This window comes from Homo sapiens, chromosome 8, assembly GCF_000001405.40.
Source record: "Homo sapiens chromosome 8, GRCh38.p14 Primary Assembly".
Taxonomy (NCBI): Eukaryota; Metazoa; Chordata; class Mammalia; order Primates; family Hominidae; genus Homo; species Homo sapiens.
Window position 1 is genome coordinate 124,693,208 of NC_000008.11, and position 24,087 is coordinate 124,717,294.

The window sequence follows — 24,087 nt, forward strand, 5'->3', positions numbered from 1 at the left end:
ACAGTGAGCAGTTCTTTGTGGGTGCAGTTGCCGGCCATGGGTGGGGAGATGTCATCGGACAGGTGGGTTATGGCAAGATGGCAAGAGGCTTTACAGGACAGCACAAACATACCTCAATGGAGAGCAACATCTCCTGGAAAGCTTTTCAAAATTGGAGATTCCTGGGTCTCACCCAGTTATTCTGATTCCATGGGAGTGGCAGGGCCTTGAAATCTGTCCCTTAAAGTGAACTTCTTGAGTGACTGTGATGCCTAATGCCAGATCTGGAGACCATGGCATTTACCAAAATCTGTACTGCAAATGTGTAACACATTTGTAAGAACTAAGCCATCAGCAATTTTCTTCACCAACATGCTTCACCAACCTCGGCGATCCAGACTCACTGATTAAAGCGCATGTCTGATGGACCAGCCTTCGATGCCTGTCCTAGAAGGTCCGGCGTCCACCTGCCTTCCTCCTACACACACTCCAAGTCTGAGAGGGGACCTCAACCCAAATGCCCATCTGTAATTTTCCCTTTTCTCTTCTAACCTTCTCTCTCCATTATCTTTGGCTTAATCTTGCTTCCTCCACTTCCTTTGTACTCAGAGCAAAAATTGGAAGCTCTAAAGATAATATAGAAAAGGAAATTTACACTTCATTCATAGCTAATAAGAACCAAGGCAAGATTTTAAATCATAGAATATTAGAGCCAAAAAAAAATTACTTGTGATGATCTAGGCTCCTAGGCCCTTTATAGGTGGGAAAATGGAAGCCCAGAGAAGGGAAATATTTACTCAAGGTCACATAGCTGCAAAGGCACGAAGTCAAACCTACGTATCCCAGATCCCAAGCTAGTTGTTATTCTAACTACCGCATATAGACTTTTGTTATTTCAACAACATAGATTATTTTTTGTGCTACACAGATTTTTTTTAATGCATTCAGAATCAAAATGGGATCAAAATGGGGAATAAAATTCGTACGCCTGTAAGCCTGTGCCCTTACACATCAGGGACTTGCGCGGAGTACAGAGCGGACGACACACTCCCTCTTAGTCAGCACTGGCCCATCCCGGCCACTGTGCCATCTGCTTGTGTCAGCAAGGGCCTTTGAAGAGCAGTGTTGTGTGACTCTCATTTTCATCTGCCTCTGTAATTACTTTCATGGTTTTGAACAACCATCTCAGGGAAGTTTAGATGGTAATACATCCAATGCCTGAGGAAGGCATTTCAGATTCTCAGAAGGAAGGAAATGGATCCCAGGCAGACTAGATCATCTTTAATGTCCAGAATCTTAAATTTGTTACCCTAAAAAGTAGGCATGATTTTAAGACTGAAAATCAGGATAGCTAGGCTTTATTGAATGTGTACCATGGGCTGGGCTCTGTTCTGAGTGGTTCATGTGTATTAAGTCTTTTTGTTCTCACCACAGCCTATGTGGTAGGTACTTACCATCTTTTTCTTAATTTCCTTAATTTTCCTTTTCTTATTTTTTTAAGTAGCCCAGACAAATGCATGCCACTCAGTTCAAATATTTCTCAGCTCCTGTAATAGCCACGTGCTGGTCCATTATGGATGTGAAGGAAGCAGAGACCCTGCTCCACAAAGCCTCGGGTTCCAAGTCTACCAGATACCTAGAAACCAATTCTTTGTGTTCAATAATACAGAAAATCGTACTTTCATATTTAAAACAAATTGTATATTCATCCAGAGTCTAAAATCAACAAAATATGGAACTGCGCCTAGTGCTAATAAACTGAAATTCCATTATAGTTTAATTATTAACCCAAATATACACATTATAATATCCACTTATACACTTTCATTTAAAAAAAATGAAAGCAATTAAGTTCTAACATATTTCCACATTCTGTTTAACAATAGGTACATAACAACTAGATTGATTTTGCTCTTATAGTGACTAGTATTCAAAGTTTTTCCTAAGTAAATTTTATTAATAGCTAGTGCAAAAGATTTCCTATAAAGGACAAAGACCACTCAGAGCTGTTCCCTTTTGGAAACAATATGAGATGCTAATATTTTGGAAACCAGAGCGACCTGCTAGCTTGAAATGCTGGGCACTTGCCCAGAAGAGATGCACTTAATGATAACTGCAATTCCCTCCTACCACTTCCATCAAGAGGGATAAAAAAAAAAAAATACATGTAAAGGCTGTAAGCAAGGGAGTAACCAAGGATATTCTTTCTGGAGAAGGTAGATATCAAACCACAAACTCTGTTAGAGTCACGGCCTACACCAACCCTAAGCCCAAATCTATTTGCTGCTGACCAAAACAGCTTGAAGCACTTTTTACAGATTATCATTTCCTTGGTGATCCATACATCATTAAAAATAGATCACTTGTAGGACTCCAAAAGGATATATACATGGGCATTAATTGCAGCAGAGCTTGTAGTAGCAAATACCTGGAGATAACCTAAATATCTATCAAGAGAATAATGACTCAGTTGTGCTATATTCAGACAGTGCTACATTCAGAAATTCCATTTGGCCGCTAGAAAGAATAAGGTGGACTTATAGGTACTGGAAAGATAACTATAATATACTATGCAGTAAAAAGCACAGAACAATGTTTCTTAGGGGCTACCTTCTGAAAAAGGTCACACAGGTATATTTTATTCCATGTGTCATTCCACATATTGTGGAAAACTAGTGTTGTTTTTTTTTTTTCCTCCCAGCATGTTTGTTTATATATGCAAAAACATCTGTAAATGACACTAAACCCAATTCCCGGGAGGGGCGGGGAAGTGGGGAGGATAAATTTTAGTTTATATATTTATTTCAATTTTTTTTTTGGACACAGAGTCTTGCTCTGTCACCCAGGCTGGAGTGCAGTGGCGCAATCTCAGCTCACTGCAACCTCCACCTCCCGAGTTCAAGCGATTCTCCTGCCTCAGCCTCCCAAGTAGCTGGGATTACAGGTGCCCACTCCTCTGCCTGGCTAATTTTTATACTTTTAGTAGAGACAGGATTTCAACATGTTGGTCAGGGTAGTCTTGAACTTCTGATCTCAGGTAATCCACCTGCCTCGGCCTCCCAAATGCTGGGATTACAGGTGTGAGCCACTGCGCCCAGCCTACTTATTTCAATTTTTTAAACTAAAGAGCATGTCCTATTTTTTAAATTTTTAAGTAAAAATTAATAAAAGTCACTTCTGACACTTACTAAGAAGGACATTCGAGTTTCTCTTATCTCTGTAAAATATACCTTCTTTCTATCACCCATATACTTTTAGGTTATTTGAGAGTTCTCACACTCCCACATTCAATGAAAATAGTAGCACGTATGGATTTTAAACAGAAAGTATCCTGGCATCACTAAAAATGATCTGAAATCCCATGGTCTAAAAATATGTCAAAGCAGCCAGATGCGGTGGCTCCCGCCTGTAATCCCAGTACTTTGGAAGGCCGAGGCAGGTAGATCATGAGGTCAGGAGTTCGAGACCAGTCTGGCCAACATGACGAAACCCTGTCTCTACTAAAAATACAAAAATTAGCTGGGCGTGATGGTGGGCGCCTGTAATCCCAGCTACTTGGGAGGCTGAGGCAGGAGAATCACTTGAACCCTAGAGGGGAAGGTTGCAGTGAGCTGAGATTGTGCCACTGCATTCCAGCCTGGGTGACAAGAGCAAGAGTCCGTCTCAAAAAAAAAAAAAGAAAAAAAAATGTCAAAGCAGGAGTTTGTTCACTATGAGATTATTTGCCTTTGGTGAAATACATCACCTCCAAACTCCTACTCTACCCCCATCACTTCTGCAGTGAGGCTCTTTGGTTTCTTTTTGCACAAATAATGGCTGTTTTTCTTCCCTTCAAAGATGACAATTTCCAGGCCCTGCAGTGTCCCGCCAAGAACCATTCTGGGAGCAGCATCTTCAGAATCCCAGGTTCCCACTACAGGAACTTATGGACAATCTGGGAATCTCTTTCCAGTCCATCTACAGGATCCATCCAAGAATTAAACATTAAAATATAAAAACATTATTATCACAGAGCCTCAAACATGCAATGCCAGATATCTAAGTTCCTTAAAACAGTAGAGCAGCTTAAAAAAAAAAAAAGACATATTCTGGGCCAGGCACGGTGGCTCACGCCTGTAATCCCAGCACTATGGGAGGCTGAGGCGGGCAGATCACCTGAGGTAAGGAGTTGGAGACTAGCCTGGCTAACATGGTGAAACCCCATCTCTACTAAAAATACAAAAATTAGTCGGGCGTGGTGGCACATGCCTGTAATCCCAGCTACACGGGAGGCTGAGGCAGGAGAATTGCTTGAATGTGGGGAGGCAGAGGTTGCAGTGAGCCAAGATTGCGCCATTGCACTCCAGTCTGAGAGACAGAGCGAGATTCTGTCTCAAAAAAAAACAAAAAACAAACAAACAAAAAAAAAACCCTATACTGATGGCTATTACAGAAAGATAAAAATATGGCTGCCAAGTCCAGTTCCAGATACTGCTGAAGTAGAAGAAAATATAAAATGCAATACTATAGGCCCTGCAATGGTTTGCATATTAAGTTCTTCTCTACGGTTGTATTTTCTCAAGTTTCTATAACAGACACACATAAGCTATGGAGTAATTTTTTTAAAGGACTTTTAAAAAGATACTGGTTAAGATCCACACCAAGCTGACATACTGGATGAAGAAACCATGCTTCTAGTTTCTGTGTCACATTCTCCAAGGGAATGCTGTAAAACCCTGCTGGCATCCCGGAAATGAGGAGAAATATTACCTCCCCTAGGAAAAACTCCTTCACTCCCTGAGTTAATTGCTCACTTTTCTATATTCCCCTAGCACTTTGTTCTACAACTATTACCATACCAAACATATAGTTTCTATGTTGAAATTCTTTATTTATACTTCTCATTTTCCCCACTCAATTGTAAGCCGCTCCAGGACAAGGAGAGTCATATTGCTTTTTGTGGTCCCATGATAGTGCCTGAAATAAAAGGAGTTTGTTCAATGAATGAGAAGGGTTCTTGCTGCAAATTCATTCAAATACTTTTAAGCACCTGTGATGAATGAGTATCATTGCACTGAAGGTACCCATCAGGTGGTTCGGAGAAACTTTCATGTGCCTGGGAGCAGTCCCCAACACTTGCCCTACAACCCAAATTTTCCAATGTCACCACGACAATGAAAAGAACAGGCCTATAGCTGCCAGTACAACAAGAAGACCCAGAAAGACAAGGCAAAGTAAGAGGCAGAAGAGAGTAGCTGCATTGCAATGAAAAGGAAATCACCCTCCTCCCTTTGAATAGGGTAATTGTCTGTTACTGGTAATGTTGCATGTGTTGCTTTTCTTTTTTTTTTTTTTTTTTTTGAGACAGAGTCCCAACTCACCGTTGCCCAGGCTGGAGTGCAGTGGCGCGATCTGGGCTCACTGCAACCTCTGCCTCCCGGATTCAAGCAACTGTCATGCCTCAGCCTCCCAAATAGCTGGAATTACAGGCACGTGCCACCACGCCTGGCTAATTTTTGTATTTTTAGTAGACATGGGGTTTCGCCATGTTGGCCAGGCTGGTCTCAAACTCCTGACCTCAAGTGATCCACCTCGGATCTCTTGCCTTGGCCTCCCAAAGTGCTGGGATTACAGGCATGACCCACCGCGCCTGACCATAATGTTGCATTTCTAAAGACGGTCAGGCATACGGGGGTATTCATTTTCTTTTTATACTTTTCACATGTTATGAATAACTTTTATATGATTCAGTACTTGCTGAAGCCATTAAATTTTTTTCATTGATTTAATAAACATACTTTAAACATCTCCTATGTTCTAGGCACTACGTTTTGGGGCTTCAGACATGAATAAGTCATAGTCTGTATCTCAACAGGTTTGCAGTCAAATATGAGGGACGCATAAATAGATACAACCCAATGAGATCCTTATTTTAAAAGGGTTCTTCATTTTATGGAAACTCAGAAAAATGGTCTATCCAATCATCCCTACTGCTTCCCATTCCACAAGGAAACAAGGAAAACCCACGTAAGGAGGAAAACGCAAATTGCAACCAAAGGCACAGCTCAAGGTTCAACAACCAGCACGTCATTAAAGTGATCAAAGAACCCATCAAGCCAACTCGTGCAGAAACAGTGGTTCATTTTCTTCCTTTTTCATTCTTCTTCACATGTGCTTTATTATCCAGAAAACTAGTTGCAACTTCTAATATGTGGAATCCCACAGAGTTTTAAAAAATGGGAAAATACGAGTCAGCTCAGCTCTGATAACTTAAGCTGCATCTTCTTGTGCAGCCACCCAAGGGGAAGAGTCCACGTGCAGAATGCAGTTAACACTGGGAGTCAGCCTCCATCTGCTTACCACGTGTGTTGGTGGCCATGTCAGCCACTTTCTGAAAGGCGTCCAAGAAGGCAGCTGCTGCTACTACTGTTGTCCTAAAATGCAAACAGATAACAAAAGCATAAGGAATGTCTCTCCCTAGCAAATTCATTACAGCTCAAGGCCTAAAACCTCTGCTAAGGAGTACATGTAACCTTCCTCCAGAAATAACTCAACTGAGCATGGACAACCACTGTCTTGCTGAACCCACTTTTTTCCAAGTACTCCACCCGAATAATATCCAGCTCATTCGGTGCTAATCAATAAATGCTAGTAGCCCTTCCCATTCCATTTCATCTGACTGTATAAAACCATTACCAGGGCCAGGCATGGTGGCTCACGCCTGTATTCCTGGCACTTTGGGAGGCTGAGGTGGGTGGATCACTTGAGATCAAGAGTTCGAGACCAACCTGGCCAAGATGGTGAAACCCCGTGTCTACAAAAAATTAGCCAGGCGTGGTGGTATGCACCTATAATCCCAGCTACTTGGGAGGCTGAGGCAGAAGAATCGCTTGAGACCAGGAGGCAGAGGTTGCGGTGAGCCAAGATCGCACCACTGCACTCCAGCCTAGGTGACAGAGCAAGACTCTGCCTCAAAAAAAAAAAGAAAAAAGAAACACCTACTACCAGGCAAAGTTTTATACAGGAGGAAAACAGAGGCATTTCTACCTAAAAGGAAAAATAAAACATTAAAAAATATAAGTGGTAGAGGTGAAATTAATTTTGGAGTAGGAAAGCAATATATATATATGCACATCAGTTGGGGGAAGGAATCTGGTAGAAAGATCATGTAGTTCAAACAATTCATTTTAGGAATAGGAGAACTGAGGCCACAAATACGAGGCCACAAACATAGCCCTAGTTCATACTAGAGCTGGGACAAGTATCCCAGCCTCATGACTCACAGGCTTGGGCTTGACCCACTATAAGACAAGATCCTGGCAGTGTGACTTTTCTCCCTAGATCCTAGTTATAATGAAACTGAGATACTACTGTTTCAACCTTAGGACACTATTTCAACTGAATCTTCCAAATTCCTACAAGGTGAGAATGGGGAGAAGGTACTATAGTCACTTATGTCCTAGAAATTATTCTGGGTTCTTAATATTTTTTTGGACACCATAGGATGCCTTGAGCCCTCTGTGGTCTACTGGTTCCAAGAGTCATGACCTAAGGCATCATTCAGCGTAGTCAACACTCCAAGCCAGGGCCATGGATTCCACACAAACAAGCCCCAGAACTAGAATTCAAGGACTTTACAATCAAACTTGTAACTAAGTGTTAATTTTCAAGTATTTCTTATATAACTCAGCCTTTACTGAGCGTTCCTAAGGATGCAAAGTTGCTGAAGAAGAATAACAATAAGGACTAGAAAGGGAAGATTTCAAAATAGAGAAAAATGAAACCAGCTGTAGTGGCTCATCCTGTAATCCCAGCACTTTGGAAAGCTGAGGTGGGAGGATCACTTGAGCTCAGGAGTTTGAGACCAGCCTGGGCAACATACTAAGACTCCATTCTCTACACACAAAAAAATTGTTTTTAAATTAGCCGGGCACAGTGGTGCATGCCTGTAGTCCCAGCTACTCAGGAGGCTGAGACGGGATGACCACTTGAGCCCAGGAGGTCAAGGGTGCAGTGAGCCATGGCTGCACTACTGTACTCCAGCCTAGGTGACAGAGCAATACCCTCTCTCAAAAAGAAAGAGAAAAGAAAAAAGAAAGAAAAAGGGAAAGGAATGGCCTTTAAACATCAGCAACAGTAGTTTTGAAACAAAAGGTTCCTGCAAGGTGCTGGAAGTAGTTCCTGGGAAAATCTAGGCAACAGTCCCTTACAGCCAAACTTCAAAATGAGGCCTGTTATTTTCCAGTAGGGCAAGAAAACATTCTGCTCAAAATTTTTAAAAATAATGACATACATGTACACAAAACCACTTTGAAGCATATTTTTTAAAGAGTTGACATCAAACACAAACCCTGGAAAAATTAGCTTTATCAAACTTCTTGGGACTTATAAATAGCTTGTTCTGATTTACAATTAATATCTGACACAATGGCTGGATTTATTCTCATCCAACTCAATGCCAATCATCCAAATTTAATGAACCAGCTGCAGAGGTGTCTTGCATATTACACAGTCACCAGGGCTCCACTGAAAATTAGGCGGGTGATCAAGTTTGAGGCTTTTAAATGGCAGTCATATTTCACTGTCCGCTGTAGTCACAAGACATCTTGGCCCTCTTTGATGGGGCAGAGCAAACTTGTAACCAACAGAAACACAGAGGAGTGATTCAGCTTAAATAAACTAAGGCTTCTATGCCTCTTCTGCAATCTAAACTTCATCCTTTCTCTAACACACAAAATTAAACTATGTGCATGAGGCCCCTATATTGCTCTCAGCCCTGTACTATTAGTTTAACAAAATAATAAAGAAATGGTCCCTGCCTTCAGGACAAAACATTGTTTAATAATATAAAATGTATCCTGTACCAGTAAGGACAGGTTAAGATTACTTTAAATTTTACTTTATATGTTTAAGACAGCTGATCTGTTCATTACTTTAAGCTTCAAGATCCTCACTGATAAAAGGGGAAGATAACAATTTTCTTGGTCTACTCTGAAAGACTGCCAGACGGTTAAATGAGGCTGAATCTTAAAAAAGTAGGGGAAATGTACTTAAATGTTTTACTGTATTACTATAGGAGGAGACCTCCCACAGGATAAAGATGAAGCTACCTAAAATAAATGGTAATCATGGCAGACATGGAGGTGGGAGTAGATATGGCTAAATAAGGTGAGGCTGGTGAAGGACTCAGGTGAGGAGCCCTGAATCCTGAGCAGGGGAGGTGGGATCTGATCCAGTAGAAAGTAATTACAAGAGCTTAAGCAGGGCTTAAGTACAGGACTTGACAACTGGGGAAGGTGCAGTATTCCAAGTTCACTGTCCATCTGAGGCTGCAGTTCATGGATGGAAATCCCAGGCTCCAAACAAAGCTGAAGGAATGAAAGAAAAAAGGCCCACCTTTCCCAAGTTCTTTAGTCTATAGGGCACCATGGACACTCTAGTCCTATGGCTAACACTCTGGGCAGTGACCCCTGGTGTCCACAGGCAAAGGCCCGAGAGCATCACATCATCCCTCTCCCACCTCTCTGTCGTCCACATGGCTCTTTATCCTGGAAAACCCCTGCCTGCCCCGCTCTCTGAACCATCTTCCTCCATCCAAACCAACCAATGACATCCCCTACATGCCATGAACCAGGGCCATCAAAATAATTCCTTTTTAAAATGTCCTATCCTTCATGAAGCACCCACTAAGTGAAATTGTATCCCTTCACCACAATGATTTAAAAGGGTAGAGCTTTAATAAGAAGATGCCAACGTATTTTCTATTTCATATCACATGATATATGAACAAGCACGAGACTAGGCAATCACAGCCCCTTAGAGCTCAGCACTGGATCTTGTTTAGGCAGCTTTACGGAGGCATAATTTACATACCATAAAATACACCCTTTTTCAGGGTATGAGTCAATGATTTTTAGTAAATTTGGAGTTGCACAATCATCACCGCAATCCAATTTTAGAACATTTCCACCACCCCAAAAGATCTGTCTTACCCACTTCTCACTCTCCTTTTTCACCCTATCCCCAAGCAACCAATGATCAACATCTCTCTAAAGATATGCTTTTGCTAGATAGTTCATGTAAATGGAATTATACAATAGTCAACACAAGGTTTTATTTTATTTTATTATTATTATTTTCTTTTGAGGTGGACTCTTGCTCTTGTCGCCCAGGCTAGAGTGCAATGGCACAATCTCGGCTCACTGCAACCTCTACCTCCTGTATTCAAGCGATTCTCCTGTCTCAGCCTCCCAAGTAGCTGGGATTACAGGCACTCGTCACCATGCCCAGCTAATTTTTGTATTTTTAGTAGAGATGGGATTTCGCCATGTTGGCCAGACTGGTCTTGAACTCCTGACCTTGTGATCTGCCTGCCTGGGCCTCCCAAAGTACTGGGATTACAGGTGTGAGCCACCACACCCAGCCAACAGGAGGTTTTAAACTCTATTTGTGGAGAGGCAGTAAGCAGAATGGAGGAGAACATGGACTCTGGAGCCAGAGAGCCTAAGTTCAAATCCTTGCTCTGCCATTTAGTAGTGATGTGACTATGGATAAGTTATTTAACTTCGCTGTGCCTCAGTTTCCTCATCAGTAAAATGGGGATAATAATGGTATGTACCTTGTGGGGTTATGAGATTTAAACAAGTTAACAAATGCCTGGCACATAGTGAGCAATACATAAATGTTACCCGTTGCTACCTTACATACAGTACCTACCTCATTTGACTCTCAAAATTCCTATGGAAGGAGGAAAGCAGACATGAATGAGTCCCATTTTACATATGGCAATCAGGGCCCAGGATATATGGCTATAGGTGATCATGCTCCAATCAGAACCCAGCACAGGCTTCCCTATCTGCAGCACTTCCTGAATCAACCCTAATCAATCTGCATTTTGGTCTGTCCCACTCCATCCTTGTCTGAGGATGTTGTCCTTTTCCTGTAGAACATGTGCTTCTACTTACCGAAGCTGGGACTGCAGCTTTCCTGCTTTGTTTATGAAATCTTCCCAAACTGGATAGCTCCCCTGCAACACATCAAAGACATCAGTAAGTCACACTGCGATAGACATCTGATTACTACATTAACAGAGCACCCAATTCCAATCATGCAGGGAACAATCTGTGTATGTTCTCTTCCTTTGCAGGTCTGCAATACGTTTCCCGGATTCTATATACATGTATTGGCTCAGGAATCAGTTTAGAATGTGCTCAGTTCCTATAATCTTGTAAATACTACAAACATCAACTGAACTAGTTTGGCAGAATCTGACACATACACTTTTGAGTTGGTAGATGGTGGGTCCAAATTTAAGGTGTACAGAACATTTAAAGCTCCACCCTGAACCACTTGTTCATGAAACATGGCCCTGGCTGTTCTCCCACTTGCCCCAAACAACACCAAGCAGGGAACCAGAGTGACTGGGGCTCTTCCCCAGGACAGGTGGTTACAGAAAGCATTAATTAGACTATCAGAATCTCAAGATTGAAAAATTACCTAATGCAGCAGCTCAGCTGATGGCTTAAGCCCAACACCTAGGGACAGTATAGCAACAGGTGGTTCCCCAACACACTTCGGCTAACAGGGAACTCATCACCTTCCCAGCCTATTATCAGCCACCCTGTCCTTGATGTTCATGTAGTTCTAGTTCTAACCTCTGGGAGCCCTCAGTTAAGATCAATAATCCTGCTTCCACATGGAAGTCTTTTCAAAATCCAGTTTCACATCCAACCCCACTTCTCCCCGGGACCCTGCTTCACACCCTGACTGCATCCCAGAGACACTCAGCGTGTCTCTCTACTCTTCCTCTAAGTGTGGTGCATAGACACAAACTCAAATCTGCAGGTGCAAGTCTGACAGGGCAAAGCAGGCAGGGACCGACGTCTCCCTTCCTACACATGTTAAATTTATATTAAGATCACACAGCCCACCAACCAAGAGGTGACTCAAAATCAACACAGAAAGGGGGAAACAATGGGCTGAGAAGTGGTATTTGGCATTGATCATTTAAGTACAGAACTAAGGGCCGGGCGCCATGGCTCACAGCTGTAATTCCAGCACTTTGGGAGGCCAAGGTGGGCAGACATCTTGAGGCCAGGAGATCGAGATCAGCCTGGCCAACGTGGTGAATCCCCATCTCTACTAAAAATACAAAAATTAGCCAGGCATGGTGGCGCATGCTTGTAGTCCCAGCTACTCAGGAGGCTGAGGCATGAGAATCACTTGAGCCTGGGAGATGGAGGTTACGGTGAGCTGAGATCGCACCACTGCACTCCAGACTGGGCAACAGAGCAACACTCCGTCTCAAAAAATAAAATAATATAAAATAAAATAAAACAAAACAAAACTAAGACTAAACACCTGGGGATTATTTTTGCAGAACAGAGCGTAAATGTTATGAACCCTGACAAGGTAAAAACAACATATGCTACCTCTTGATTTTCTTGTTCAGGAAAGGAGGAAAAAATTATAATGAGGTTAATCAACTCATCTTTCATGACAGAAGCCCAATTAAAACTGTCTAAAACTGCAACCCAGCTAAAACATTAACAGTTTTACCTTCCTAATGGTATTAAACATCATTTTTTCTTACCCTTAGAGCAGGTTCTCAGCCTCAACACTATGGACATTTGAGGCCAGATAATTCTTTGTCGTGGGGGGCTGTCCTGCACATTTAAGATGTTTAGCAGTATCGCTATCTTCCATTCACTAGATGCCAGCGTTCCCCCACCCCCTATTTGGGACAACCAAAAATGGGACATTGCCAGATGGCCCCTAGGGGACAAAAATCACGCCCAGTCAAGAACCACTGCCTTAAAGGCACATCTGAGAAATCAACTTAAAGAAAGTGGTGAAGAAACAATTACAGTATTACTTCAGTTTCATTTTCTTCTGTTAAATGAAAGTACAATTAAGTATATTTTTTCAAAAGATCATGCATAGCACTCATTATAACAAGGAGCACTCATTATAACAAGGAACACCTTGTTATAGAATCGTCTATTTATATACTTCCCTAGCTGTCAATTCTGTCTGAAAATGTACATAAGAGATATCTGGAAAGTTGTCTATAAAATATTAATACGGGTTACTTCTGGGAGTTAAAATCTGGACCAATGTATTGCTTTCTCCTTTGTACTTTCCTTTATGGCTGGAGTCTTGTGAGTTTTCTTTATAAGGGTCATGTATCATTTTAATGAAAACAATAAAGTCATTGCATTTTTTAAAACGTAAGATCAAATTAGAGGTTCTGGCAACAACAGCACCATGAATTTACAATCCACCCGAACTCTAAAGTCTGTTTCACGCATGCTGCTACACCACATTCATCAGTTCTGCCTTCATGCATTGGAGACCTGCTTGGCTCAAGCACAGGTTTCTGGATTTATTCCTCTAAGTGGCAATTTGCCCCTATGGGAAACTAAGCAACAGCCGGGCAAGAATCGTGTCTGGCTGGCTCCTGGCAGAGGCCCTTTGGCAGCTACACCTGAGCTACTGTCAACCAACACCTGTGTGAGGGTCTTGTCACGACATGACCTCCATCCCAAGTGTGTGCCCTGGGGGTTACTTCCACCCAAGAGCAGAACTGTATATTAATTTATGTCAAATGAAAACTTGTGAGAGCTCAGGCTATCATTCAAGGCCCATCAAGACATAGTGGGGACTCCAATTATGACACCCAACATACATACCATTTTTTTAATCCAGTCCAGATAAGAACACCCCTTGTACACCTACATCCAATTAAAGAGATGAGGGCCAAGATCAGAGTCCTCAGGATGGCCACTGGAGATCTCTGTCCAGAGGGACAGCAGTTGGCACCTCTAAGAACACAAAGGCTCAACCAACCAATAGCAGCTTCGTCCGACCATTCCTTCTCTTTCTGAGCCACAAGACACGATGAAAAGCTTTCTGAGAAATCTGAGCATTCAGAAACACTGCTCACCTACTTCTAGGCAAAGGTGCCACCATCTCTCGGCTACACAAGGAAGAAGGACCAAAGAGCCAGACCCTCCTCTCCCAAACACCAAACACTCCCATCCAGGGAGCCCTGGAGAAATATTATTAAGACGATCAAAGTATTTCTTAAGAAAAAGGTGGGCCAGGGGCAGTGGCTCACACCTGTAATCCTAGCACTTTGGGAAGCTGAGGCAGGAGGATCACTTGAGCCCAGGAGTTCAAGACCAGCCCAGACAACATGGCGAGACCCCATTTCTACTAAAAATACAAAAAAAAAAACAAACAAACAAACAAACAAAAAAAAAACACCAGGCCAGGCACGGTAGCTCACGCCTGTAATCCCAGCATTTTAGGAGGCAGGTGGATGAGGAGGTCAGGAGTTCAAGACCAGCCTGGCCAAGATGGTGAAACCCATCTCTACTAAAAATACAAAAATTAGCTGGGCGTGGTAGCAGGCACCTGTAATCCCAGCTACTCGGGAGGCTGAAGCAGAGAATTGCTTGAACCCGGAAAGTGGAGGTTGCATTGAGCCGAGATCGCACCACTGCACTCCAGCCTAGGCGAAAGAGCGAGACTCCATCTCAAAAGAAAAAAAAAAAAACCTAGCTGGGTGCTGTGGCACATGCCTGTAGTCCTAGCTACTCAGGAGGCTGAGGTGGGAGAATCCCTTGAGCCCGGGAGATCGAAGCTGCAGTGAGCTGTGATTGTGCCACCGCACTCCAGCCTGGGCAACAGAGCAAGACCCTGTCTCAAAGAAACAAAGCCAAAGGAAAAGGTGAGGCATGTTCATCGAGAACATGCAGAACTGGCCAGTGGCCTGGGCAGGGAGCACTGGGTCCTGAGGTCTAGTCACAGCCCTGCCAGTCATGGACTAGGGGAAATCATTTCACTTCTCAGGGATCATTCCCTTATAATGATGATAACCAAAACAAATAATTCCATCACCATTACCAATACCATCAATTATTGAACATTGAAAGAATGAAGGAGATGAATAAAGATTGCACGTACAGAAGCCCAATCTCTTGGATTGAACCTTAGCTCTCCCATTTGCTATGCGACACTGGGCAAGTTATTTGACCTCTGCATGGGTTTAAGTCACATCTTCACAGGGCTGAGAGGAGGAACGAATGAGGTCATATACAGAAAGTGCTCGGTGCAGTGCCCAGCACACTGGAAGTGCTCAACAAACATTTGATATGAGGGATCCAAGTGGCCACAGGCTCTCAGTAATCTCCTTTAGGATGTGTGGGGGACAGACTGTAAAGTCTAAGTCAGACTGTCCATCCAGACTGGAACCCCCCTTTTAGAGTACCTGGTGTGGAACCAGCCAACATGGGAAGCATCTGCATCTCCCTATTAGTAAACCAGGGTTAGGCAGAAACAGACCAAGGCAAAGGCAGCTGGGTGTTCAGTGCCAGACAATTTCTCTGCTGCTGCTAAGCAAATGGCAGGGTGGAGTACTCAACCCTGAGATGAGTGTGCCTGAAAAAGACGACTACTCAAACCACTGAAGAAACTTCTTATCTGCCCCCACTTGGAGCGTCATTTCAGTCTTTACCAAATTAGCAACAAAAGGAGGGGTCCCCTTTCTAGTCAAGGGGTACAGCTAACAGCTCCCCACCTACGAACATCCACCCAGCCAGAAGGTTGCCCAAAGTAGCTTGCTGCTGACTTAATGACACTTGACAGTCTATCAGAGAGAGTCAGGCCCACCTGTTTTAGGCAATATATAATTTAATAGATTCTAAAAAAAGAAAAAAAATCAACTTCTAAGAACAGAAGACAAAAACCTCCTTGTTGAGAAATGAAAAAAAAAAAAAGTGAGTAAATGTCATTAAAATTTAAAGGCAAAGTGATGTTGGGTTGTTCCAGATATTTTTGTAAGTTTCTTTCAAGGAAAAAAGAAGTTTCTACCCACCTGAGAGCAGTTTTACTATAATAATTCAAGCTTAGAGGAAGTAAGAAAGGAGGAAGAAGGTAACTAGAAAGATTGAAAGGCAGCAGAGAAAAAGTCCTGCCTTTTGGACAGCAAGACTACATAAAGGAGACCATACTCAAGTTTCAAAAGAAACCCGCAACCCAAGACACTGGAAGCTCTTAGAGCCCTTTAGAAAGCAATTCCCCAACTGTCCTTGGTTTTTGCATCTGCATCCACCCACCAAGAAGTCCCCAGAAAGTTCATTCCTGAGGTTGCTGGCTGAGCTCTGTCCCCATTTGAGGAAATCCCTCGGAATGCACTCCCAGAGCCGTGAAAACAATTCAACACAGACCCCACTGTGGATTTCACCTGAGAACACATAAAGGCTTCACAACGTTCCAGACAGACCCAAATCAAAGAAAACAAAACTCCCGCCACGCCCCGGCTTCTGCCAAGTCCAAAGTCACAAGGCAAAATGAGAAGGCGCACCTCCTCCAGGAGCCCCCTGAATTTCTTCAGAGAGGAGAGCCAGGAGTTTCTGGAGCCCTTGGCAGTGCGTTCGTTGAAAATACAACTCAGATTACACTGGGTTCTAAGAAAGGAAAAGGTCCCTATTAAAGAAACGGGAAGAGAAAGCCAGTTTGTTTACAAGCGTGTAAAGAGGACTCCCTCCATCACTTCCTTGGGTGAGAGATGGGGCTTCCCTGAACACGTGATCTCACCCACACTCCCCACACACACCACACCCTGTGGCTGCTTCTCTTCAAATCTCCAGGGGGATTCAGCAATATTGAAAACTCCTATTCAGCTGTCACTACCCAGCTGTGACACTTCTTCTGGAACATTCTCTGACACACCCCCTTCCCACCTACCCTCTGGTTTAGCTGCACCTACTCCCCAACTTATCACATCATACAGTTTGCTGTCTATAAGCCTGAGGGCTTCCCCTTTGGACTGTGGAACAAGGACTGAGAAATGAAGGGAGGAAGGAAAAGTACTTCTGGTAGGGGGTGCAGCTGACACAAAAGGAGGCAGGGAACACTGACCAGCTCTCTCCAAGGGACACTGGAGTGACACATTTATGCTGGCCACTCCTCCAGGCAGGACATGGGCGAAGTGGCCCAGGTGGGCAAGGGCAGCCTTCCAGGGCAAGACCCAGGGTGGGGACTTGGGACAGGTGAGGAAGACCGGGGTGGCCTTCATTCAGACAGTGAGTGACATAAATTCCAGACCAGACAGGTGATGGGAGAACCTGGCTAATGGTCACATACCTGGCATCACTCTAGTTCCTGGGAGAGAGAGGAAAATAATGAAGTCATTTTCTTAGTTTTTAGGAAAAAGGCCTCCTAAATCTCCTTCAACTGAAGAGTTTGGTGGCCACCTAAACAAATCCACAAGTTGGTCTCCCCCACCCCACCCTCAAAGTGGAGCTTAGGAGACACCGCCGAGTGCCTCTCCTCATCTTCCTCCTCTTCCTCCACTTTCCCTAGAGCCAGGACCCATGGCAGGCCATTTGCCTAACACAAAGCAAGGCACAGCAATCGGCCAACAGCCATTCTGGCTTAGGGTTGTTTGGCTTCGTTTTGTTTCCTATTGAACAGAGGCCCAGGACGGCATCCCACACATGGTGCAGAGAATAACTGTGTGTAGCTCATCAGCACGGCTGGTGACCGGTGCTCCATAAATAATGCAGCAACTGCCTCTCCCAGCCCAGCGCCACTGGGACAGCTGAGGGAATTCAACACCACGCTGCCACACAAGGAACACAGGGGCCGGGAACTGCCAGAGAAAGGGCAACTTGGGAGGAGCCACAGAGCTGGGGAGGACTTACGTGAGGAGGAAGAATTCAGTTCAGGGGAGAATCAAGTAGGAACCAGGAGGGCAGAGGCTCTAGAGAGTGGGGTTCCAGCTCAAAGGCCTTTGTTCTGCCCAAAAGGTGCCAGACAGAGGCTGGCTCACCAGTGGATCTGGCTGAGAAATCAAGCCGTGGGGTATATGACCAGCCAGGTAACTTCCCAAGTATCTCTGTTCACCTTGACAAGCATCACTGTCATCACCATCATCATGAAGCATCACCACTTTCTAAAGAGTTGCCAGGTGCCAGGTATATATACTGGCCCTTCCCAAGCTGTAATTTACATATCCATCATCTGGGGAGCTTGCAGACAGGCAGGTTCTGATTTGCTTGGTGGAGGTGGGGCCGTTTAATCTGAGGTGCTGCTGCTCCTGGTCCACAGACCACTCTCTAAGGAGCCCAGCTTGATCCTGCATTCTCACTGCATGCTCACAGCAGCCCAGGCAGGCAGGTGCTGCTGTTATTTTAGAGCTGAGGAAACTGATGCCCAGAGAGGTTGGAGCAGAGAGCTCCAGGTTGCAATAGGATGCCAGATCTGACTTTGCAGCCCAAGTGTTCCCTGATTCTGGGAAGTGCAAGTAACCACATGAACAGAGCCAGCCTCCAGCCCAGCCCAGCCCCAGGGCTGCAAAGAGTGGCTTAGACAGCAGGTTGGGTCGCGCTTTACATGTGGGTCCTATAAGAGCCCAGACAAGGTAGAGCAGAAGAGGACAAGGGTGCCCTGCACACATGGCACCTGATTACAACTGCAGATGGCCCAGAGGGATTGTAATACCACCCTGGAAATGGTCAGGACCCCCAACCACATGAAAAAGAAAGCACGAGGCTGGGCGCAGTGCCTCACTCCTATAATCCTAGCACTTTGGAAGGCTGAGGCAGATGGATCACCTGAGCTCAGGAGTTCGAGACCAGCCTGGGGAACATGACAAAACCCTGTCTCTACTAAAAATGCAAAAAATTAGTGCAGCATGGTAGCACACGTCTGCAATCCCAGTTACTCAGGAGGCTAAGGCATGAAAATCGCTAAAGCCCAGGAGGCAGAGGTTACAATGAGCCGAGATCACGCCACTGCACTCCAGCCTAGGTGACAGAGCGAGACTGTCTCAGAAAAAAAAAAAAAAAGGAAGAAAACATGAAACACACAACAAAGAGTGGGTAGAAAAATGCCTGGTAGAAATGCACCAAGAGGTTCATAGCTGTTGGCACTTGTGGTATGATTATGGATAATTTTATCTCATCTTGGTTTTCTGTGAACACACAAACTGGTCTTCTTCTACCAGGAGATCAGTAGAGTCAATCTGGGAGGGGCTTTTAAATCTCCAGCTGCCACAGCCACCCCTGCCACCATGACCCCTTCCCAGGTCTGCGGAGACCTCAGCAGGGCGAGTGTGAGGAACATAGCCAACAGCATCCTTCCTCTTCTTCCGCTGGGTATACCCTGGATGAGCTCAGCCTTCAGGTTACCCTGAAGCTGCTTTACGCAGCTTCCAGAGGAGGCTGGCACCTTCTGACCTACGCTGGAGTGGCTCTGGCCTCCCTGCTTCTTCAAGCATGAGGCAAGAATCCGCTCAGCTTCCAGAAGTGGGCGTGTGGGATGACAGACAGGGCCCATGAATGCCTGTCATAGCTTTGTCCCCAAAACCACCCTTCCCCACCCAATCCTGCAAGATGAAGGGCTCCTAAGATCCTCAGATGAAAGGCACTGGGTAAGCCCATCCATCATAAATACCATTCCTGGGCTTTTATTCTCTGATTGGGGGTTGCCTAATCCACTAATTATCCCTGTCCATCAAGCGGATGACAGCCTTGGGGATAATCAATGGTTGCTTCCTCGCCCGCCCACCCTCACCCACTTGCCCAAGCACACCAGCAATAAATATGCCTATGAAAAGGAAGACTGAACCACAAAAGGTGCTCCCTCTGTCCATCCGTCCATCTCCCCTTACAAACTGCTCCATTTGTAACTATTAACACCCTAACCAAACAAATCAAGGATATCAAGCTTTTCCTCCTCCCGCATTACTAGGTTGGATGCCCGGGCTGTTTTCTGACATCTGGGTGTCTCCACTTAAAATAAAAATAACCAAACAAATATGTCAACCATATCTTCCAAGTCATTTTCTTAAGTTTTCCACCAGGAAGTATTCCTTTGTCTATCCTGAGCTGTCCAACAGGGGAGCCCCACATGAGGTTATTTAAAGTATGATTAAATAAAATTTAAAATTCAGTTTTTCAGCCCACTAGCCACACCTCAAGTGCTCTGCAGTGGCTAGTGGATACCGTACTGGACAGCATGGACACAGAACATCTCTACCACTGCAGAAAGTTCTATTGGACAGCAATGGCCACCCCACCACAACGGCACCCCTAAGGGCTTCACTATCTTAGGGTGCTCTACAACCACAGCTAGGTTTTTGGTTCTATTTTTTAACCACTGTAAAATGTATGTATGTGTTCCATGCTCCACATTTCTTGAAAAATAGAATCCCTCTCCTTTTTCATCCCCTAAATTCAACTCATTCCCCAATTTTGGGTTTGTTTTGAGACAGTCTTGCTCTGTCACTCAGGCTGGAGGTGCAGTGATGTGATCTTGGCTCACTGCAACCTCCGACTATGAGGTTCAAGAGATTCTCCTGCCTCAGCCTCCCAAGTAGCTGGGATTATAGGCATGCACCACCACGTCTGGCTAATTTTTGTATTTTTAGTAGAGACAGGGTTTTGCCATGTTGGCCAGGCTGGTTTCGAACTCCTGACCTCAGATGATCTGCCCGCCTCAGCCTCCCAAAGAGCTGGGATTACAGGTATGAGCCACTGCGCCCTGCCTGTTTTCTTGTTTTGAGACAGGGTCTCACTTTGTCACCAAGGCTGGAGTGCAGTGGCACAATATCAGCTCACTGCAGCCTCGACTTCCCAGGCCCCTCATTGCTGCCTCGACTTCCCAGGCCCAAGCGATCCTCCTGCCTCAGTCCCCCAAGTAGCTGGGACAACAGGGAAACACTACCACACCCGACTAATTTTTGTATTTTTAGTAGAGATGGGTTTTGCCATGTTGCCCAGGCTGGTCTCGAACTCCTGGATTCAAGTCATCTGCCTGCCTTGGCCTCCCAATGTGCTGGGATTACAAGCAAGAGCCATGGCCATTACGGCCATGACATTTCCTTTATGATTTCAGATAGTTCCTCCCATCAAAAGAGAGAGGAAGAGGTTTATGGTTAGTCACTGCCTGCATCAGCAGCCACCTGACATTTGTATGGCCAAGTTTTCAAAGGTGAAAACCTGCCATGTGGGAATCTAAACTGACGTCATGATGGGCACTGAAGGCACCGCCTCACATGTATGCTGTATTCGAGAGTACAGAGGTCTTTCAAAACACCACTGAAAGGGCAGCTGGTAGAACAGGCATTTAACACTTCCCTACTAACCATAGGAAAATCGGGCACAGAAAGAGTAAGTAATTTGCCCAAAGTCAGGGAAGGGCTTGCCCTCACGCCCGGTTAACTGCATTAACTGTTATTTGCTCCTAAGCAATGGTTAATTGCTCCTGAGTTTGCTCAGTTGTTTTTGTTTTTGTTTTTGTTTTGAGATGGAGTCTTGCCGTGTTGCCCAGGCTGGAGTGCAGTGGTGCTGTCTTGGCTCACTGCAACCTCCGCCTCCAGGGTTCAAGTGATCTTCCTGCCCCAGCCTCTGTGTAGCTGGGACTACAGGAGTGTGCCATCATGTTCAGCTAATTTTTTGTATTTTTAGTAGAGATGGGGTTTCACTATGTTGGACAGGCTGGCCTTGAACTCCTGACCTCAAGTGATCCACCTACCTCAGCCTCCTAAAGTGCTGGGATTGATTACAGGCATGAGCCACCACTCCCAGCCTGCCCAGTTCTTTTTAAAATAAAATTGTATAATGGGTTCACCTAAGACTGACTGATTCTCCACATCTGGAAACCTGGGAACTCAATATTTAACCACCTAATACAGGGGCTGGCTGCTTTTACCTAGCATTTGTATAAGCTTAATCCTCCCCAGAATAATACATATCTACCCTCTAACCTTTGTCCTCCTATCCAGAGGCCAAAGCTATTGCTCCATGTGTTTATTCCTGTCTATAAATGTCCACATTAGATATTGAACCTGAGCAAAACACCTAGTGGCTTGCACACCCTATGAAATGTTAGACCTTCTAAGCGTGACTTCACGTTGGTCCATTTACACTCACCCATTTCTTTTCCCTGGAAGTGTCCGCTCTGACCTGCCTCTACCCAACTCCAAAACTGCTTCTGCATTTTAGGGATTAGTTCCTCTTGGGGCCAATCTCTCCAATACCCTGAACAGACACACAAACACCCTCTACCCTAGAGAGGATCATGTTTGAGGTTTTGCTCCCCTAAATACACACATACCTCTGTATTCATTCCATATTCCCTTTTTTATGTTCTTTTCTTTTTCTCTTTCTTCTTTTTTTTTAATTTTTGTTGTTTAATTTGTTTTCTTTTCCTTACTTTTTTTAATCCATATTCCCTTTTAAACTGAGACCTCTCCGCAGCCAAGGGCAGCATGATGAACTTGTCACATCCACCCTGGGGCAAGCACTGGCCTTGCTGCGCTATACACGCTTAGTGTGCTCTGCCATCTTCCACGAAGCAGATTTCCCCTTTGGAACGGAGACAGATAGCACCTCCTCTGTGACCTCAACTCCCACCCCAGGCTGCTAGGAACGATGCCCTGGTAGCCAGTAAAGAGTCAAAGGCCACCAGTGTCACAGTGATAACTGTGTTTGTCATTTCCATAGCCATTTTTTTTTTAAGTGTCTTTCCATTGAATGTCATTTTTCTTGCCTGGCGAGAGGGCGCTGAGGTGTAGCCATATTCCAGAGCCTGAAAAGCCTTGTGTGGCCTAGTGGTTAAGAGCATGACTCTAGAGTCAGCCTGCCAATTCCAGATGTGCTCACTGGGTGACCCTGGGCAAGTAATTTAATCACCTGGTGCTGCCCTGTCTTCATCTGTAAAGGACACTGATGGCAGTCCCTGCCTCAAATGATGGTTGTAGGATGATGGGGAAAACAACAAGTGTTTAGAAGGGTGACTAGCAAGTAGAATTCAACTCTGCTTTGATGACTCAATGTACGATGCCAATCACCCTGACTGGGCCATGAATGGGCACCTACTATGCGCAGGCACTGAGTGAGGGGTGGGCCATAGACAGAAAGAGACCAAAGCGTTGAGGAACGCAGTCTAGCAGTAAAGCTGATGTGGAACTGCAGATCCCAAAGCCCCAAGGGCAGCATACTCGAGATATAAAGTGCTGGACAGTGCGGTTCCCAGAGTGAGGCAATGCCTCACCTCGGTCTCAGAGGATAAATGGGAATTTTCTTGGCAAAGAGAAATGAAACAAAGAGGGAGGAAGCGTTCCCTGCAAAAGACAGAATTAGCAAATGAAAGGAAGTCGAGATCATGCTCTGCCTAGGCACAGAACTCATTTCGTCTGCCTGATCGCATTCCAAGTATATCTGTGGTGGAGTCGGGGATGGGGACACATGTGCGGGAGATAGCTCCCTACATACTTCAAGAGCTGCAGAGGAAGCTCTCAGTGGCTCAGGTGACCCAGGGGGCACTCCCACTTCCACCTACTCCTGGTGGAATCCCAGCAAGACCTATCAGAGAATGACCTGAAGTGTTTGCTAACACTACAGGTTCTAAGCCCCACCCCCAGATCAACAAAAAGTCTCCTGGGATGGAGCCAGGGAATCTGCATTTTAACCCATTCTCCAGGGACACTTTTGCTCATTAAAAATTACACACAGCAAGATTTGAGAATCACTGCACTAGATAAGATGCCACATGTCCCTTTGCGCCCTTGGAAGCAGGGGTGCCAGCTAGGTCCCAGTGTCCACATCTAGCTCCTTTAGATGTAATCCACGGTGGTGAGCCCTCAAACATGGGAATTGGGAACTGAGACATGTTTTTTGGTAGGCTTTGGGTAATGGGTTTCAAAAGCCTTGAAAAAAACACACATTTTGACCAAGGATAAAAAGTCCTTCGGGGGAAATCACTGATGTAAATCAATGTCTAGTCACAAGGATGTACTTGTTGTAGGGTTGCTTATAATTAGTAAAAAAAAAAAAAAAAACTGGACGCAACCTAAACACAAATGAGGGAGGTACTGGCTTCTGCCTCAGGGCTTCTGCACATGCTCTCTTCCCTTGCACTGAACACTGCCCTCACCCCCTGCCCACATCTTCACGGTTCTTAAGTTGTTGCTCTAACGCCACCTCCTCTGCGAGGCCCGCCCCTAACCACTCTACTTAAAAACAGCACCAGACTGGGCATGGTGGCTCATGCCTGTAATCCCAGCACTTTGGGAGGCCAAGGCGGGCAGATCACTTGAGATTAGGAGTTCGAGAC

At 44.8% G+C, this 24,087-nt stretch overlaps 1 protein-coding gene across 31 annotated transcripts in view; it reads right to left on the reverse strand.

Moving 5' to 3' along the window:
* The window catches only part of MTSS1 (MTSS I-BAR domain containing 1), a 177,690-nt gene that overhangs the window by 142,424 nt on the left and 11,179 nt on the right, over positions 1-24,087 (reverse strand). For all 31 annotated transcript variants that reach the window (XM_047422493.1, NM_001363301.2, XM_047422490.1 and 28 more), the window contains exons 2-3: positions 10,923-10,984; positions 6,319-6,392 (exon numbers count right to left, since the gene is read on the reverse strand). In XM_047422493.1, coding sequence (XP_047278449.1) covers positions 6,319-6,392; positions 10,923-10,984 — 136 coding nt within the window. The remainder of the gene's footprint in view (positions 1-6,318; positions 6,393-10,922; positions 10,985-24,087) is intronic.